Source organism: Homo sapiens, chromosome 19 (assembly GCF_000001405.40).
Source record: "Homo sapiens chromosome 19, GRCh38.p14 Primary Assembly".
In the NCBI taxonomy this organism is placed as follows: Eukaryota; Metazoa; Chordata; class Mammalia; order Primates; family Hominidae; genus Homo; species Homo sapiens.
Genome location: NC_000019.10, coordinates 38,584,355 through 38,602,210, shown reverse-complemented (window position 1 = coordinate 38,602,210; position 17,856 = coordinate 38,584,355). Strand labels below are relative to the sequence as shown.

Below are 17,856 nucleotides of genomic sequence, written 5' to 3'. Positions count from 1 at the left end.
CCAGCTATTCAGGAGGCTGAGGCAGAAGAATTGCTTGAGCCCAGGAGGTGGAGGTTGCAGTGAGCTGAGATTGCATCACTGCACTCCAGCCTGGGCAACAGAGTGAGACTCCATCTCCAAAAACAAAACTGACAGCTGGGAGTGGTGCCTCACGCCTGTAATCTCAGCACTTTGGGAGGCTGAGGCAGGTGAATCACATGAGGCCAAGAGTTCAAGACCAGCCTGGGCAACATGGCAAAACTCCATCTCTACTAAAAATACAAAAATTAGCTGGGTGTGGTGGCACACGCCTTTGGTCCCAGCTACTCAGAAGGCTTAGGCATGAGAATCAGTTGAACTTGGGAAGCAGAGGTTGTAGTGAGCTGAGATCATGTCATTGCATTCCAGCCTGGGCAACCGAGTGAGACTCTGTCTTAAAAAAAACAAATGCTGATGATTTAGGATAGTGGAGGAAAAACTAAAAAAAGAAATATATAACAACAACAAAAAAAAACAAAAACAAACTGAAAAGAAAACTCAATGTATGAAAAAGTGTATTACAGGGATAGATTATGGGAAATTGCACCAAGGTAAGAGGCAGGATTTGAACCTTGGCACTCTCGCTCCAAAGTCGTAACCACTGCCCCTTCCTGTTCCCTGCTCTCTTTGCCGGATCTGCTGCCTGGCCCCGCGGCGACCTGCCCAGGGATGTGCCCTTCTCGTAAAGTTGTTCAATGGCTGCCCCCTCCGGATCCACAGCACGGCCGCCTGGACACATCCCTCCACCAAGGGTGGGCATTCTGGAGGGTCAAGGAGATCCTGTAGGGAATGGGAGAGCAAAAGTAGGGGTGGGGAGAAGCCTAAGGAAGGCACAAAGGCAGGGACGGGGAGGAGCTTAATGGAGTTGGGGTGTGGCCAGGCTGAAACAGGGGCGGAGCTTGTCCTTACACTCAGGATTTGGTGATCAAAGATGCATAGAGGGCAGCCAGGTGTGGTGGCTCACACCTGTAATCCCAGCACTTTGGGAGGCTGAGGCGGGTGAATCATTTGAGGTCAGGAGTTCAAGACCAGCCTGGCCAACATGGTGAAACCCCGTCTCTACTAAAAATACAAAAGAAGCTAGGTAGGCCGGGCATGGTGGCTCACGCCTGTAATCCCAGCACTTTGGGAGGCGGAGGCGGGCGGATCATTTGAGGTCAGGAGTTTGAGACCAGCCTGGCCAACGTGGTAAAACCTCGTCTCTACTAAAAACACAAAAATTAGCCAGGCGTGGTAGCACGTGCCTATAATCCCAGCTACTCAGGAGGCTGAGGCAGGATAATTGCTTGAATCCAGGGGGCGGAAGTTGCAGTGAGCTGAGATCATGCCACTGCACTCCAGCCTGGGCAACAGAGCAAGACTCAGTCTCAAAAAAAAAAAAAAAAAAAAAAAATGGGTAGAGGGATGAGTTGGAGAGTGAAAGTAGGAATATTGGAATTCAGGGGCCAGGAGTGTCAGAATATAACAAAAAGGTTAGAGTTTGGAGCACGAGAAAGATGGACAGCTGGAGGTTAATGATAGGGAGACTGGGAGCAGCATTTTGGGGTGAGGAATTTTAGAGATTAGGATGCAGCCAGAAAGGGACAGAATCTAGAGATCAAAGAGATGAAGACAAGGTCAGTGTTAAAGGAACAGGTCACACTGGACAGAAAAAGTCCTGTTTGGGGGTGTCTGAGTTTGAAGGTCAATGTTAGGATTGGCATTAGGGTATCAGAACTGGGGAGAAAGAGGGGAGGAAATCAGAGGACTATTTTGGGGGACAGGTCTAAGGTTGGGGTCAGTTTGGTTCAGAAGACAGTTGGGCAGAGAAGAAAGAACCACCAGAATATGGGTAGTCAAAAGGAGGGAGAGTGAGACTGGCTTGCGGGACCGTCCGCTCTGGCTTTGTTTGGGGAAACAGAGGCTGGGAGTATTGGTTTGGAGAAAGAATAGAGGGTCAGAGCTGGGGACAGAGTGTCAGTGTTTGAGGTCAGACAGGTGGGGATCTGGGAGGTCCCTGAGGATGAAGTCGGTCCCAGCGTCCTTGTCTGTGCCTCCAGACCAGCACCTGCTCCTGGGGGCAGAGGAAGGCATCTTCATCCTGAACCGGAATGACCAGGAGGCCACGCTGGAAATGGTGAGGAACCATACCGGGCCAGGGCAAGGGCAAGGGCCGGAGTCGGGGGTTGCTGGGGTGTCACCAGAGCCATCTCTCCCATTCCCTGCAGCTCTTTCCTAGCCGGACTACGTGGGTGTACTCCATCAACAACGTTCTCATGTCTCTCTCAGGTCTGGCTGTGGGTAGCAGGTGGGATGGGGTCGGAAGTTAAGGGGTCCAAGGGTTCGGGGGCTGGGAAGTAGACGGGCACAGCTGAAAAAAAACTTAGACTGCTTGGTCACAAAGTCCTAGGTTCAAATCCCAGACACTTTTTGACTGTGCTCCCCAAGCCTCAATTTCTCCATTTGTAAAATGGGGTTCACAATAGTCCTCACCTCTCAAGTCAATTTTGAGGTAGTTTCTACAATAAATTAGTCTTTTTTTTTCTTTTTTTGAGACAGAGTCTCCCTCTGTCACTCAGGCTGGAGCGCAGTGGTACAATCTCAGCTCACGGCAACCTCTGCCTCCCAGGTTCAAGTGATTCTCATGCCTCAGCCTCCTGAGTAGCTGGAATTACAGGTGTGCACCACCACACCTGGCTAAATTTTGTATTTTTAGTAGAGACAGAGTTTTACCCTGTTGGCCAGGCTGGTCTCAAACTCCTGACCTCAGGTGATCCAACTGCCTTGGCCTCCCAAAATGCTGGGATTACAGGCATGAGCCACCACACCTGGCCTTAGATTAGCCTTTTTTTTTTTTTTTTTTTTTGAGACCGAGTCTCACTCAGTTGCCCAGGCTGGAGTGCAGGGGCGTGATCTTGGCTAACTGCAACCTCTACTTCCTGGGTTCAAGCAATTCTCGTGCCTCAGCCTCCCGAGTAGCTGGTATTACAGATGTGAGCCATCATGACTGGCTTTTTTTTTTTTTACTTTTTTTATTTTTTATTTTTAGTAGAGATGGGGTTTTACCATGTTGGCCAGGCTGGTCGCAAACTCCTGACCTCAGGTGATCCACCCGCCTTGGCCTCCCAAAGTGCTGGGATTACAGGTGTGGGCCACCGCACCTGGCCTAAATTAGTCCTTTTTTTTTTTTTTTTTTTTTTTGAGATAGACTCTCACTCTGTTGCCCAGACTGGAGTGCAGTGGCGCAGTCTCGGCTCACTGCAACCTCCGTTTCCCAGGTTCAAGCGATTCTCCTGCCTCACCCTCCCAAGTAGCTGGGATTACAGGCACCTGCCACCACACGCGGCTAATTTTTTGTGTTTTTAGTAGAGACGGGGTTTCGCCATGTTGGCCAGGCTGGTCTCGAACTCCTGACCTGGTGATCCACTCGTCTCAGCCCCCCAAAGTGCTGGGATTACAGGTGTAAGCCACCGTGCCCAGCCCTAAGTTAGTCTTTAAATAGCTTTCATGTTCAGATGACAATCAGAACTTATTCCATACTTTACTAAGATAGAGTGAGCAAGTTATAGATTTCAAAATCTGGACGGGGTGCAGTGGCTCATGCCTGTGATCCCAGCACTTTGAGAGGCCAAGGCAGTAGTACTGCTTGAGCCCAGGAGTTCTAGATCAGCCTGGGCAACATAGTGAGACCTCGTCTCTACTAAAAATTAAAAAAAAATTAGCTGGGTGTGGTGGCACACACCTATGGTTCCAGCTACTCGGGAGGCTGAGGTGGGAGGATCACTTGAGCCCAGAAGTTAGAGGCTGCAGTGAGTCATGATCACACCACTGCACTCCAGCCTGGAAGACAGAATGAGACCCTGTCTATATATAACAATAAATAGGCCGGGTGCGGTGGTTCACACCTGTAATCCCAACACTTTGGGAGGCCGAGGCGGGTAGATCACCTGAGGTCAGTAGTTCGAGACCAGACTGGCCAACATGGTAAAACCCCGTCTCTACTAAAAATACAAAAATTATCCAGGCATGGTGGCGCATACCTCTACTCCCAGCTACTTGGGAGGCTGAGGCATGAGAATTGCTTGAACCTGGGAGGCAGAGGCTGCAGTGAGCCAAGATTATACCACTGCACTCCAGCCTGGGTGACAGAGCGAGACTGTCTAAAATAATAATAATAATAATAAATAAATGAAATAATTTCTAGTTTTGGGGGAAACACCAAGCCAAATGGGATTCATGAGTTAGTGAAAGCCACATCTGTGATGACAAACTAGAAGATTTTCTAGATGTGTTTCTTCTAAAACTTTGTAAGATGTGTAACTTCATCTGACTGGTTATGTGTCCAGAGTTTCTGATACGGCTACAAATACCACGAGGGTAGGGAACATATTTTTTATGCTCATCACTGTTCACCAGAGCCAAGCACAGCAGGCCTGGCCTACAATGGACGTTCAATCTATGTGGAGTGAGAAATGAATGAATGAATGACAAGTACTTGAGACTTGCAGGCTTGGGAGTTTCAGACAAAGGGATGGGGCTGAGGGAAGGGATGGAGGAAAGGAAGTGGTATATGGGATCCTATAACTTCCTGCTTCCCCCTACATACACACACCCTGCAGGAAAGACCCCCCACCTGTATTCTCATAGCATCCTTGGCCTGCTGGAACGGAAAGAGACCAGAGCAGGAAACCCCATCGCTCACATTAGCCCCCACCGCCTACTGGCAAGGTACCAGCTCCCAATGAATGGCACCACACAGCCTTATAATTCCTCCCATGCCCCTCTGCCTCCTGCTGTCCTACCCCCCTTCACACCTACCTATTCTCCAGGAAGAACATGGTTTCCACCAAGATCCAGGACACCAAAGGCTGCCGGGCGTGCTGTGTGGGTGAGAGAGAGCTTCACGGGTGTGCAGAGAGTGGGCGGGGCCAGGCCAGAGGAGGGGCTTGAACTGCATCCACCTGAGAAGGTTACAGAGTTAAGGCAATGTGTCCAGAACCCAGAAGATGGGTGGTAGTGTGGGTGGCGAGGAGGATAGAGGGCATTGATCTTGACTCATCCTTGCCCATGCCACAGCGGAGGGTGCGAGCTCTGGGGGCCCGTTCCTGTGCGGTGCATTGGAGACGTCCGTTGTCCTGCTTCAGTGGTACCAGCCCATGAACAAATTCCTGCTTGTCCGGGTAAGGGGCTTGGGAGGGTGCTGGGAACTCTGAGGAGTGGGTGGCTAAGGCCTTGCACCCTTTGCGCTTCTATCAAGAGCTCCATGAAGCCCCACCTCCGTCGAGGCCCCGCCCCAATCTCCCGAGGCCCCGCCCACCTGCGGTCTGCGCTTGGAGCCTCGTCCTTCTGAAGCCATCCTGATCCTTAAGCGCCGCCCCTCACACCTGGGCCTAATTATTCCTCAGGCTCAATGCTGCCACTCCCTGGGTGTCCTAGTAGAGCCCATTTAGAGCCTGTCTCTTTGAGTGTCTAAGCAGGTTTTGCTATCTTTGGGGCCCTGCCCGTCTGCCGCCAAGGTGGCATGCCCCCACATGGAAGCCACACCCACTCGGAGGTCACGACCCCCGTTCCCGCGGAGGCACCAGGCCTTATCCCCTGACATTTCTAGACGGCATCCCCCAAGACTTAGGGCCCTGGTTCGGAAGTCCCAGGCCAGCTACAAGCCACGCCCCCTGAGGCCCCGTCCTGAACCACCCCCTAGCCCGCCCCTCCCTGTGCGGCCCGCAGCAGGTGCTGTTCCCACTGCCGACGCCTCTGTCCGTGTTCGCGCTGCTGACCGGGCCAGGCTCTGAGCTGCCCGCTGTGTGCATCGGCGTGAGCCCCGGGCGGCCGGGGAAGTCGGTGCTCTTCCACACGGTGCGCTTTGGCGCGCTCTCTTGCTGGCTGGGCGAGATGAGCACCGGTGAGTGGGGCGGAGTCTTGCTGAGGGCGGGGCTTATCAGATCCGGAGGGGCGGAGCTGGAGGCGGGGCTTCGCTTAGCCTGAGGCACTACGGGACTGAGAAAGGGCTGGAAGGGCGGAGAAGGGAGAATGGCAGGTTTTAGTTAACTGGGGAGATTGATGATGGGGTGGGACCGGGATGGTGGGCGGGGTTTAGCCCACTTGCTTGTGAACTGAGGCGGTGGCTAAAGCACAGGTACTGGCCTTCTGGGGGTGGTGTGGGGAAAGGGGAATGGGGTGGGGTCAATCCTTAACCCACTCCCCCCAAACAGAGCACAGGGGACCCGTGCAGGTGACCCAGGTAGAGGAAGATATGGTGATGGTGTTGATGGATGGTGAGAACCCTCCTTCCTCCCCTTCCTCCCCACCCCTCCAGCTGCAGTCCCTAGATCTCTGCCTCCGAACTTGTGCTTCTCAGAACCCCCTGAGCCCCTCTGGGCCTTGCCCCTGTCCTACATAGCTTTCACACTGAATTTATGGATTGGTCCCTTAGTAACCCTCTAAGCCTTGCTCACAGTTCTTAAAACCGTCTATCTCCTTCCAGGCTCTGTGAAGCTGGTGACCCCGGAGGGGTCCCCAGTCCGGGGACTTCGCACACCTGAGATCCCCATGACCGAAGCGGTGGAGGCCGTGGGTCTGTGCAGGGACGGGAGAGCCCAGGATCAGGGGTGGAAACTCAAGTGATCCCCAAGGGTAACGGGCATTGCTTTCTCCCCAGCTATGGTTGGAGGTCAGCTTCAGGCCTTCTGGAAGCATGGAGTGCAGGTGTGGGCTCTAGGCTCGGATCAGGTAAGCCCCTCCATCCAAACTCCACATCACTGCCCCCCAGCCTCCATCATGACATTCATCAGATGGGCTCCGAGAACTCCTGAGTCAGAGTGTGAAGTCCTGGAGGGGAAACATCTTCCAAATTTCAGTTCAGATAGATCCCCTTCTTTGCCCCAGGATTTATTTTTTATTTTATTTTTATTTATTTATTTATTTAAGACGGAGTTTCACTCTTGTTGCCCAGGCTGGAGTGCAGTGGTGCGATCCCGGCTCACTGCAACCTCCACCTCCCGGGTTCACGCGATTCTCCTGCCTCGGCCTCCCAAGTAGCTGGGATTACAGGCATGCGCCACCACAGCTGGCTAATTTTTGTATTTTCAGTAGAGACGGGGTTTCACCATGTTCATCAGGCTGGATGGTCTTGAACTCTTGACCTGGGGTGATTCACCCGCCTTGGCCTCCCAAAGTGCTGGGATTACAGCTGTCAGCCACCACACCCGGCCTATTTTATAGATAGATAGATAGATAGATAGATAGATAGATAGATAAAATTTATTTATTTTTGGAGATGGATTCTTGCTCTGTCACCCAGGCTGGAGTGTAGTGGCGCGATCTCGGCTCACTGCAGCCTCTGCCTCCCAGGTTCAAAGAATTCTCCTGCCTCAGCCTCCTGAGTAGCTGAGACTACAGGTGCATGCCGCCATGCTTAGCTAATTTTTTTGTATTTTTAGTAGAGACAGGGTTTCACCATGTTGCCCAGGCTAGTCTCAAACTCCTGAGCTCAGCCAATCTGCCTTCCTTGGCCTCACAAAGTGCTAGGATTACAGGTGTGAGCCACCACTCCTGGCCATTTTTATATATTTTTTGAGACAGAGTCTCGCTCTGTCACCCAGGGCAGAGTGCAGTGGCATGATCCGAGCTCACTGCAACCTCTGCCTCCTGGGTCCAAGTGATTCTCCTGCCTCAGCCTCCCGAGTAGCTGGGATTACAGGTACACTCCATCATGCCCAGGTAATTTTTGTATTTTTAGTAGAGACGGGGTTTTGTCATGTTGGCCAGACTGGTCTCGAACTCCTGACCTCAAGTGATCTGCCCGCCTCAGCCTCCGAAAGTGCTGGGAGTACAGGCGTGAGCTACTTCACCCGGCCTGTTTGTTTTGGAGATAGGGTCTCTCTCTCTTGTCCAGGCTGAAGTGCAGTGGTGCAACCATAGCTAGCTGTAGCCTTGACTTTCTGGGCTCAAGCAATCCTCCCTCCTCAGCCTCTCAAGTGGCTTGGATTACAGGTGTGAGCCACTGCACCTGGCTGCTCTTGGATTTCTTGAGTCCCAATCTCATCCTGGGCCACTACTGTGACCTTGGGCTGGCAACGTTGCTTCTCTTTAAGCTTCTGTTCCCCAACTGTAAAATGGGGACCACTATAGAGATATATGGATAGTTAAGACAAGACTGTCTGGGTTGGAATTCAGCTGAGTGGCCTTGGGCAAATGACTTAACCTTCCTGTGCCTCACTGTCCTCATTTGGAAAATGGTGTTTATCTCACAGAATACTGTGTCAGACTTTGCCCTTACACTTTAGTATTTTTATTTATTTATTTTTGCTCACTCAGTTCCTTCCCTCTTTTTGAAATGGAGTCTCGCTCTGTTCCCCAGACTGGAGTGTTAGTGGCACAATCTTGGCTCATTGCAACCTCTGCCACCCAGGTTCAAGCGATTCTCGTGCCTCACCCTCACAAGTAGCTGGGACTACAGGCATGCGCCACCACAGCTGGCTAATTTTTGTATTTTCAGTAGAAATACAAAAATTATCTCAGCTGGAGATCTCGGCTCCAGTGGCACGCCCAGTGGCGCAATCTCAGCTCAATGCAATTTCTGCCTCCCGGGTTCAAGTGATTCTTCTGCCTCAGATCCTGAGTAGCTGGGACTATAGGCGCGCACCACCATGCCTAGCTAATTTTTGTATTTTTAGTAGAGACGAGGTTTTGCCATGTTGGCCAGGCTGGTCTCGAACTCCTGACCTCAGGTGATCCACCCACTTCGGCCTCCCAAAGTGCTGGGATTACAGGCGTGAGCCACCGTGCCCAGCTCCTTGCTGTCTTTAAGGGAGCCATGTTCGTAGTGACAGTGGAGGTATCTTCCAGGCACTGAGACACACACTTTTTTTCCCTAGCTGCTACAGGAGCTGAGAGACCCTACCCTCACTTTCCGTCTGCTTGGCTCCCCCAGGTATGTTGTGGGGTGGGGTGCAGAAGGACCTGGGAGGGGGCTTCTGATGTGAAGAGAGCATTCTGAGGTGTCCCCAGCAAGGTATCTCTAGCCTGGACAGTGTCTCACCTGGTCACCCTGCTTCCATCCCTGCTCCCTAGAGTCTGTTCTCTGCACTGCAGCCACGGGGGCGTTCTCTCTTTTTGTTTTGTTTCTCACTGTACTCAAAGGCTGGAGTGCAATGGCACGACCACGGCTCACTGCAGCCTTGACCTCCCAGGCTCAAGTGATCCACCCACCTCAGCTTCCTGAGTATCTGGAACTACCGGCATGTGCCACCATGCCCAGCAATTCTTTTATTTATTTATTTATTTATTTATTTATTGAGATGGAGTTTTGCTTTTGTTGCCCAGGCTGGAGTGCAATGGTGTGATCTTGGTTCACTGCAACCTCTGCCTCCCAGGTTCAAGCGATTCTCTTGCCTCAGCCTCCCAAGTAGCTGGGATTACAGGCATGTGCCACCACACCCGGCTAATACTATATTTTTTAGTAGAGATGGCATTTCACCATGTTGGCCAGGCTGGTCTCGAACTCCTGACCTCGGTGATCCACCTGCCTCGGCCTCCCAAAGTGCTGGGATTATAGGCATGAGCCACTGCACCTGGCCAATCCTTTTATTTTTTAATTTTAATTCTTTTATTTATAAAATTTTTTTAAAATTTATTTTTGACACAGAGTCTCGCTGTGTTGCCCAGGCTGGAGTGCAGTGGCACAATCTCAGCTCACTGCAACCTCTGCCTCCCAGGTTCAAGTGATTCTCATGCTTCAGCCTCCCAAGTAGCTGGGTTTACAGGTGTGTACCACCACATTTGGCTATTTTTTGTATTTTTAGTAGAGACGGGGTTTCGCCTTGTTAGCCAGGCTGGTCTCAAACTACTGACCTCAGGTGATCCAGCTGCCTTGGCCTCCCAAAGTTCTGGGATTACAGGAGTGAGCCACTGCACCTGGCCTTAATTTTATTTCATTTTTGAGACAAGGTCTCATTCTGTTGCGCAGGCTGAAGTGCAGTGTTACACACACAGCTCACTGCAGTCTTGACCTTCTGAGCTCAACTGATCCTCCCACCTCAGCCTCCCAAGTAGCTAGGTCCACAGGCATACACCACCACAACTGGCTAATTTTTAAAATTTTTTTGTAGAGACGGGGTCTTGCCATGTTGCCCTGGCTGTCCTTGAACTGCTGGCCTCAAGCAATCTTCCTACCTTGGCCTCCCAAAATGTTAGGATTACTGGCATGAGCCACCACACCTGGCTGCATTTTTTTTTTTTTTTTGAGACGGATTCTTGCTCTGTTGCCCAGCCTGGAATGCGGTGGCGTGATTTCAGCTCACCACAACCTCCACCCACTGGGTTCACGCGATTCTCCTGCCTCAGCCTCCCGAGTAACTGGGATTACAGGCATGTGCCACTGTGCCCGGCTAATTTTTGTATTTTTAGTAGAGACAGGCTTTCGCCATGTTGTCCAGGCTGCTCTTGAACCCCTGATCTCAGGTGATCTGCCCGCCTCGGCCTCCCAAAGTGCTGGGACTACAGGCATGAGCCACCGTGCCCAGCCCTGGCTGCATTTTTATTTTAGATTTTTATCTTATTAAAAATTTTTAACTATTAAAAATAACTATTTTAACTATTTTGACATAATTTAAAACTCACACTCCCAGAGAAGTTGCAAAAATCCCTTTTATCCAGATTAACCAGATCTTTTTTTTTTTTTTTTTTTGAGATGGAGTCTTGCTGTGTGGCCCAGGCTGGAGTGCAGTGGATCTCCACTCACTGCAACCTCTGCCTCCCGGGTTCAGGCAAGTCTCCTGTCTCAACCTCCTGAGTAGCTGGGACTACAGTTGCACACCACCACGCCCAGCTAATTTTTTTGTTTTTTTAGTAGATGTGGGCTTTCATCATGGTGGTTAGGCTGGTCTCGAACTCTTGACCTCAGGTGATCCACCCACCTCTGCCTCCCAAAGTGCTGGGATTACAGGCGTGAGCCACTGTACCTGGCCAGATGTTAATCTTTTTAACCGCATTTGCCTTATTATTCTTTTTTTTTTCTTTTCTTGAGACAGAGTTTCGCTCTTGTTGCCCAGGCTGGAGTGCAATGGCATAATCTCAGCTCACCACAACCTCCCACTCCTGGGTTCAAGCACTCCTCCTGCCTCAGCCTCCCGAGTAGCTGGGATTACAGGCATGTGCCACCATGCCCGGCCTCTTCTCTTTCTTATGCGCACACACCACACATACAAGTATATGTGTGTGTGTGTGTGTGTGTGTGTGTGTGTGTGTGATTTTTTAATGAATATTTGGGAATGAATTGCAGACGTGATGCCCATTTACCCCTAAAATACTTCAGTGTATGTTTCCTGAATCAAAGCAAGGACATAATGTTACAAACCACAGCACAGCTGTCAAAATCAAGAAAACAACACTGAAACATCACAACCTTCTAATTCATACCCCTACTCAATTTCACCAGTTGGCCAGGTGTGGTGGCTCACGCCTGTCATCCCAGCACTTTGGGAGGCTGAAGTGGGCAGATTACCTGAGGTCAGGAGTTGGAGATGGGCCTGGCCAACATGGAGAAACCCCACCTCTAGTAAAAATACAAAAATTAGCTGGGTGTGGTGGCACGTGCCTGTAATCCCAGCTGGGAGGCTGAGGCAGGAGAATCACTTGAATCGGAGAGGTGGAGGTTGCAGTGAGCCGAGATTACGCCACTGCACTCCAGCCTGGGTGACAGAGCGAGACTCTGTCTCAGAAAACAACAACAACAACAACAAAAAATTTCACCCGTTGTCCTAGTGACGCCCGTGATTATATATATATATATATATATATATATATATATATATATATATTTTTTTTTTTTTTTTTTTTTTCTGGTCCAAGATCATAGGTGGCACTTAGGAGCCATGTTTCTTTATAATTAAGCCGGAAAAAATAATTAAAACTTCTTTTGTCTTAAAGGAGCTTTGACCTTTTTAAAAATTAAAGGAAATTTGTTTTCTAAAATGTCCCTTAACTGTGTTTGAGGTTTCCACGTTCTGAATTTTGGGCAGGAATACTGCAGAAAGATGTCTTTCTCAGTGCATCATTTCAGGAAGTACACAATGCTAGTTTGTCCCATTACTGGTGATATTAACTTCGGTCATTTGGTTAAGGTAGAATCAGCCAGTTCTCTCCACTGTGAAGTTGCTTTTTTCTCCCTTTTTCTTTTTTTTTAAAGATAGATTCTCTCTCTGTCACCCTGGCTGGAGTGCAGTGACGCGATCATGGCTCACTGCAGCCTCGACCTCCTGGGTTCAATCAGTCCTCCCACCTCAACCTCCCGGGTAGCTGGGATGACAGGCGCGTACCACTACACCTGGCTTATTTTCGTATTTTTTGTACAGACAGGGTTTCGCCATGTTACTTAGCCTGGTCTGGAACTCCTGGACTCAAGAGATTCACCTGTGTAGGCTTCCCAAAGTGCTGGGCTTATAGGCAGGGGTCACCGCACCCAGCCTCTGTTTTTCTTTGTAATAAGAAGTATCCCACCGGTCGGGCGCGGTGGCTCACGCCTGTAATCCCAGCACTTTGGGAGGCCGAGGCAGGTGGATCACCTGAGGTCGGGAGTTTGAGACCAGCCTGACCAATGTGGAGAAACCCTGTCTCTACTAAAAATACAAAATTAGCCGGGCATGGTGTTGCATGCCTGTAATCCCAGCTACTCGGGAGGCTGAGGCAGGAGAAGCGCTTGAACCCGGGAGGCGGAGGTTGCAGTGAGCCGAGATCGCGCCATTGCACTCCAGCCTGGGCAACAAGAGTGAACTCTGTCTCAAAAAAAAAAAAAGAAGTATCTTTTGGGGAGATTCACTGAGACGAGGTAAATAGTCTGTAAATACGTTGTTTCTCATCAGATTTTCACCCACTAGTTTTATTGTTTTTTGTTTGTCTTTTGTTGTTGTTTTGAGTCAGAGTCTCACTCTGTCCCCCAGGCTGGAGTGCAGTGGCACGATCTCGCCTCACTGCAACCTCCTCCTCCCAGGTTCAAGCAATTCTCCTGCCTCAGCCTCCCGAGTAGCTGGGATTACAGGTTTGAGCCAACGCACCTGGCCTGCCCACTAGTTTTAGAATCAATTGATTTTTCCCTGAATCTATTATTGTTAGGTGGCTACTAACAATAAATGGTGATTTTCTGATTCTATGTTTCCTTCTGCGTGTGTTAGTTGGCATTCTACTCTAAAGAAGAGCTGTGTCTTCTCCATTCTTCTTTCTTTATACCAGCATGGTCTCATGGATTTTTATTCTGTGGGTTATAGTCTATTACTGTCATTATTTATTTATTTATTTATGAGATGGAGTCTCGCTCTGTCACCCAGGCTGGAGTGCAGTGGTGTGATCTCAGCTCACTGCAACCTCTGCCTCCCAGGTTCAATCGATCCTCCTGCCTCAGCCTCCCGAATAGCTGGGATTACAGGCGTGCACCACCATGCCTGGATAAATTTTTTTTTTTTTTTTTGAGACAGAGGCTCGCTCTGTCGCCCAGGCTGGAGTGCACTGGCGCTATCTCGGCTCACTGCAAGCTCTGGCTCCCAGGTTCACGCCATTCTCCTGCCTCAGCCTCCCGAGTAGCTGGGACTATAGTGCCTGCCACCACACCTGGCTAATTTTTTTTTGTATTTTTAGTAGAGATGGGGTTTCACCGTGTTAGCCAGGATGGACCTGGATAATTTTTGTAGTTTTAGTAGAGATGGGATTCACCATATTGGCCAGGCTGGTCTTGAACTCCTGACCTCAAGTGATCTGCCCCCCTTGGCCTCCCAAAGTGCTGGGATTACAAGCATGAGCCACCATGCCCGGCCTTGTCATTATTTATTTTGAGGCACAAATGGTCTTAAATTTAGCCAGTGGGAACCACTTTAAGTAGCCCCTGTGTCCTTTTGACATGCCAGAAGGGTCACTTTAAATCCAAATCTGATCGTGTCACTGTCTCCCTGCTTAAAATCCTCCCATGGCCTCAAGATAAAGACTCAATCCTGGCCACAGCCCACAAGGCCATGACATCTCCAGCCAAGTCCCAGCCTTTCTCCCACCTCAAATCCTTTGCACAGGCTGTTCTCCCCAGCCAGAACACTCTTCCTTGCCCTTTCACCAAGTTCCCTCCTAACCCCCCTTCAGGCTGCACCATCCATTCTCTGGGGAGTCTGGGCTGACCTCCTGGGTTAGGTTTCCCTGCCAGACATGCCATGCTTTTTTGCACTCATGTAATTCACTGATTCATGTTGATCTCCTTCTCTAGAATGCAAGCTTCCTAAGGGCAGGGACCGTGTCTGCCCATTCACTGCTATAGTTCAGCATGGGGCTGGCACAGTCTCTATTAACTACTTTGTGAATTAATGAATCAATGAACATATGAATGAATAAATGAACTGACTTATCTCTTCCTTCCACAGGCCTGTAGTGGTGGAGACACGCCCAGTGGATGATCCTACTGCTCCCAGCAACCTCTACATCCAGGAATGAGTCCCTAGGGGGGTGTCAGGAACTAGTCCTTGCACCCCCTCCCCCATAGACACACTAGTGGTCATGGCATGTCCTCATCTCCCAATAAACATGACTTTAGCCTCTGCTGTCATCTTGTTTTTCTTGGGGGAAACAATTCCTGGATGTCCACTCCTCCAAAATTTCAGCAGGCCAACACAGTGATGCTGGGGGGCGTAGCACAGATTTATTTTCCAGTACTAGGTCACCTCTCCCCCAGCTGCCTTAGGGGGAGGGGCTTGGGGACTAAGGGGCTTGCTGTGAGAATAAGGCACTTGAGGTGGGGGTGGAGGGCCAGCTGGGGGTGTGTCAGCTAAGCTGGTCCTCATACTGCTTACGGAAACAATCACCAGCTGGGAAGAAATCCCAACATCTCTCTTGGTACATCTTCCAGACATAAGACTCCTAGGATTGGGGATAGAAAGAGTTCATTGGTCACATCTTCAAACCCTTGAGACATATATATATATATATTTTTAGACAGGGTGTTGCTCTGTTGCCCAGGCTGGAGTGCAGTGGCGACAATCACAGCTCACTACAGCCTCCTGGCTCAAGCGATTCTCCACCTCAGTCTCCAGAGTAGCTGGGACTACAGGTGCACACCACCACCCCTGGCTAATTTTTTAATAGAGAAAGGGTCTCGCTGTGTTCCTAGGCTGTCTTGAACTTCTGGTCTCAAGCAATTCTCCCGCTGTGGCCTCCCGAAGTGCTAGGATTGCAGGCGTGAGCCAGGACGCCCAGCCCAAACCCATTTTTTTTGAGATGGAGTATCGCTCTGTCACCTAGGCTGGAGTACAGTGGCATGATCTTGGCTCACTGCAACTTCTGCCTCCTGGGTTCAAGCGATTCTCCCACCTCAGCTTTCCAAGTAGCTGGGATTACAGGCATGCACAACCACGCCCTGCTAATCTTTGCATTTTTAGTAGAGACTGAATTTCACCATGCTGGCCAGGCTGGTCTTGAACTCCTGACCTCAAGTAATCCACCCGCCTTGGCCTCCCAAAGTGTTGGGATTACAGGCGTGAGCCGCCGTGCCCAGCCCCCAGCCCTAACCCTTGATATTGATAGGAGCTTTTTACTGCCACCTACTGACTGGCCTTATGTTAAAGGGCTCCACGTCCTGCCCACTGTCCTCCCATTAACACCCCCTTACCTGACCCGTGTGTTCTGTCTCATCCTTGTTTATCAAATACATCAGGAAAAACCTGAGGGTGAGAGGACCACAGGAGACAAGTCAGAACCACCCTTACCTTATTTTATTTTTCATTTATAGTAGAGAGGAAGTCTTGCTATGTTGCCCAAGCTGGTCTCGAACTCCTGGCCTCAAGTAATCCTCCCCACTTGGCCTCCCAAAGTGCTGGGCTTACAGGTGTGAACCATCTTGCGGGGCCCCACCCTTACCTTCTGATTGGCTGGCAGGGAATCTGCCCACATGGACACTACACCCCCTTTCCTAACTGGCCAAAGCTAAGTACCCCACTGCTGGCTATTGGCAGCCATGCCCCCCACCCTCCTGACTGGCCAGTGTGTCTGCTCACATGTAATTGGCCAGGTTGTGCTCCTCCAGCGTGTGAGTCTCGAAGCCATGCGGTGTCGTATCAAAGTAGTCACTGCCGATTCCACAGATGAAGCACTTGGTCTGTGAGTGGCAAGAGACATCAGAGTGGAGGCCCACTTGACCCCCTGAATCCCGTAATCCCTCTGGGTCACCCCCAGACATGACCTACCTCCATATCCTCCTTCACTTGCTCTTGTTGGTCTCGGAGCTCACCAAAAGCGTCGATGATCAGACCTGGGGTGGCAGGACACAAGTCAGTGCCCGACCTCTGACCTGGTTCAGACTCCCCCCTCTCCAGCTACCTACCTCCAGGGCTTGCCCTCCATCCCCCATTTCCCTAATCTCACCCCTAATCTCGCTTCCTAAGAAGATAGTATTAGGCCTTTATTGGCCGGGTGCGGTGGCTCACGCCTGTAATCCCAGTACTTTGGGAGGCTGAGGTGGGCGGATCATCTGAGGTGAGGAGTTCAAGAGCAGCCTGGCCAACATGGTGAAACCCCCTCACTACTAACAATAAAAAAATAAAAAAAATTAGCTGGGTGTGGTAGCATGTGCCTGTAGTCCCAGCTAATCAGGAGGCTGAGGCAGAAGAATCGCTTGAACCTGGGAGGTAGAGGTTGCAGTGAGCCAAGATTGCACCACTGAACTCTGGCCCGGGCAACAGAGCGAGACTCCCTCTCAAAAAAAAAATTATACATATATATATATAGACACACACACATATATATAAATATATATAAACACATATATAAATATATATAAACACATATATATATAAATAAACATATATATATATATATATCTCAGGCCTTTATTGAGCACTCATATGAGCCAGACACCGAGCGCCTATGAACTGACTTAATCCTGATCACAACCTATGAGGTTAGTACCATTGACACCCTCGTTTTGCAGATGGAGAAACGGAGGCCCCGAGAGGTGACTTGCCCAAGGTCTCACAGTAGCGAGAGGTAGAGATGGGGTATGAATGCAGGCCGACTGGATCCTGGGCCTGCATTCTTAGCCATGGAGCTAGCCTGCCTCCGGGCCCTGAGCGCCCACTCCCAGCACTGACCCTGGATGATGGCCAACAGGATGACGATGACGAAGAAGAAGAAGGTGATGTCGAAGACCACCCTGTAGAGCTCGTATTCGTCACCCGCGGGGTCCTCGATCTCGTCCCCAATGCCTCCGCCAGCCCGGACACCCACGTACATGTGAAACAGGTAACACTGAGGGAGGGGAGCACACTGGTCACTCATTCATTCGACATTCACTGAGTACCAGCCAAGGCCCCGGGATAGGCAGGGCTGAAGACATGGTAACGACTGAGACAGCCCTGGGCCCTGCCCTCAAAGGGCTCACAGATACGGCATCAGACAGGGACCAACAGCCAGAAATGGTCAGGGCTGTGACAGGAACAGCACGGGCAGGGGGGTGAGGGCCAGGTTGGGTGTGGGGCGCAGGCAGAGGGGTCAGGGCCAGGATGGGGGGCACAGGCAGAGGGGTCAGGGCCAGGATAAGGGGGGCACAGGCAGAGGGGTCAGGGCTGGGATGGGGGGCACTGGCAGGGGAATCAGGGCCAGGATAAGGGGGGCACAGGCAGAGGGGTCAGGGCCAGGATAGGGGGGCACAGGGAGAGGGGTCAGGGCTAGCATGGGGGGGCACAGGCAGAGGGGTCAGGGCTGGAATGGGGGGTACAGGCAGAAGGGTCAGGGCCAGGTTGGGTGGGGGGCACAGGCAGAGGGGTCAGGGCCAGGATGGAGGGTACAGGCTGAGAGGTTAGGGCCAGGATAGTGGGGCACAGGCAGAGGGGTCAG

The 17,856-nt window shown here is 50.9% G+C and overlaps 2 protein-coding genes and 1 long non-coding RNA gene across 9 annotated transcripts in view, besides 1 other annotated feature; 1 reads left to right on the top strand and 2 right to left on the bottom strand.

Moving 5' to 3' along the window:
* The window catches only part of MAP4K1 (mitogen-activated protein kinase kinase kinase kinase 1), a 30,313-nt gene extending 15,743 nt beyond the window's left edge, over positions 1 to 14,570 (top strand). For 2 of the 3 annotated variants that reach the window (NM_001042600.3, XM_011526404.2), the window contains 12 exons: positions 686 to 770; positions 2,058 to 2,134; positions 2,226 to 2,286; positions 4,617 to 4,725; positions 4,827 to 4,885; positions 5,074 to 5,177; positions 5,725 to 5,899; positions 6,210 to 6,272; positions 6,482 to 6,571; positions 6,656 to 6,726; positions 8,874 to 8,929; positions 14,394 to 14,570. In NM_001042600.3, coding sequence (NP_001036065.1) covers positions 686 to 770; positions 2,058 to 2,134; positions 2,226 to 2,286; positions 4,617 to 4,725; positions 4,827 to 4,885; positions 5,074 to 5,177; positions 5,725 to 5,899; positions 6,210 to 6,272; positions 6,482 to 6,571; positions 6,656 to 6,726; positions 8,874 to 8,929; positions 14,394 to 14,463 — 1,020 coding nt within the window. In that variant the 3' untranslated portion in view covers positions 14,464 to 14,570. Of the gene's footprint in view, positions 1 to 685; positions 771 to 2,057; positions 2,135 to 2,225; positions 2,287 to 4,616; positions 4,726 to 4,826; positions 4,886 to 5,073; positions 5,178 to 5,724; positions 5,900 to 6,209; positions 6,273 to 6,481; positions 6,572 to 6,655; positions 6,727 to 8,873; positions 8,930 to 12,935; positions 13,034 to 14,393 lie in introns of all 3 variants that reach the window. The other variant, NM_007181.6, reaches the window with a different exon arrangement.
* Positions 517 to 5,864, bottom strand: MAP4K1-AS1 (MAP4K1 antisense RNA 1). The gene is made up of 3 exons (NR_134907.1): positions 5,775 to 5,864; positions 4,816 to 4,958; positions 517 to 798 (listed from the first exon to the last, which is right to left on the bottom strand). It is a non-coding gene; the product is annotated as an MAP4K1 antisense RNA 1 (long non-coding RNA).
* Positions 4,977 to 5,477: an enhancer, noted in NCBI's record as "H3K4me1 hESC enhancer chr19:39087374-39087874 (GRCh37/hg19 assembly coordinates)". NCBI's record gives its function as "activates a minimal SCP1, AML or CMV promoter by ChIP-STARR-seq in naive H9 embryonic stem cells {active_cell/tissue: H9 hESC(naive)}" and the evidence as "EXISTENCE:reporter gene assay evidence [ECO:0000049][PMID:30033119]".
* RYR1 (ryanodine receptor 1) overlaps positions 14,647 to 17,856 on the bottom strand; it is a 153,874-nt gene continuing 150,664 nt past the window's right edge. For all 5 annotated transcript variants that reach the window (NM_000540.3, XM_011527205.3, XM_006723317.3 and 2 more), the window contains 5 exons: positions 17,112 to 17,268; positions 16,209 to 16,273; positions 16,020 to 16,120; positions 15,635 to 15,686; positions 14,647 to 14,886 (listed from right to left, as the gene is read on the bottom strand). In NM_000540.3, coding sequence (NP_000531.2) covers positions 14,791 to 14,886; positions 15,635 to 15,686; positions 16,020 to 16,120; positions 16,209 to 16,273; positions 17,112 to 17,268 — 471 coding nt within the window. In that variant the 3' untranslated portion in view covers positions 14,647 to 14,790. The remainder of the gene's footprint in view (positions 14,887 to 15,634; positions 15,687 to 16,019; positions 16,121 to 16,208; positions 16,274 to 17,111; positions 17,269 to 17,856) is intronic.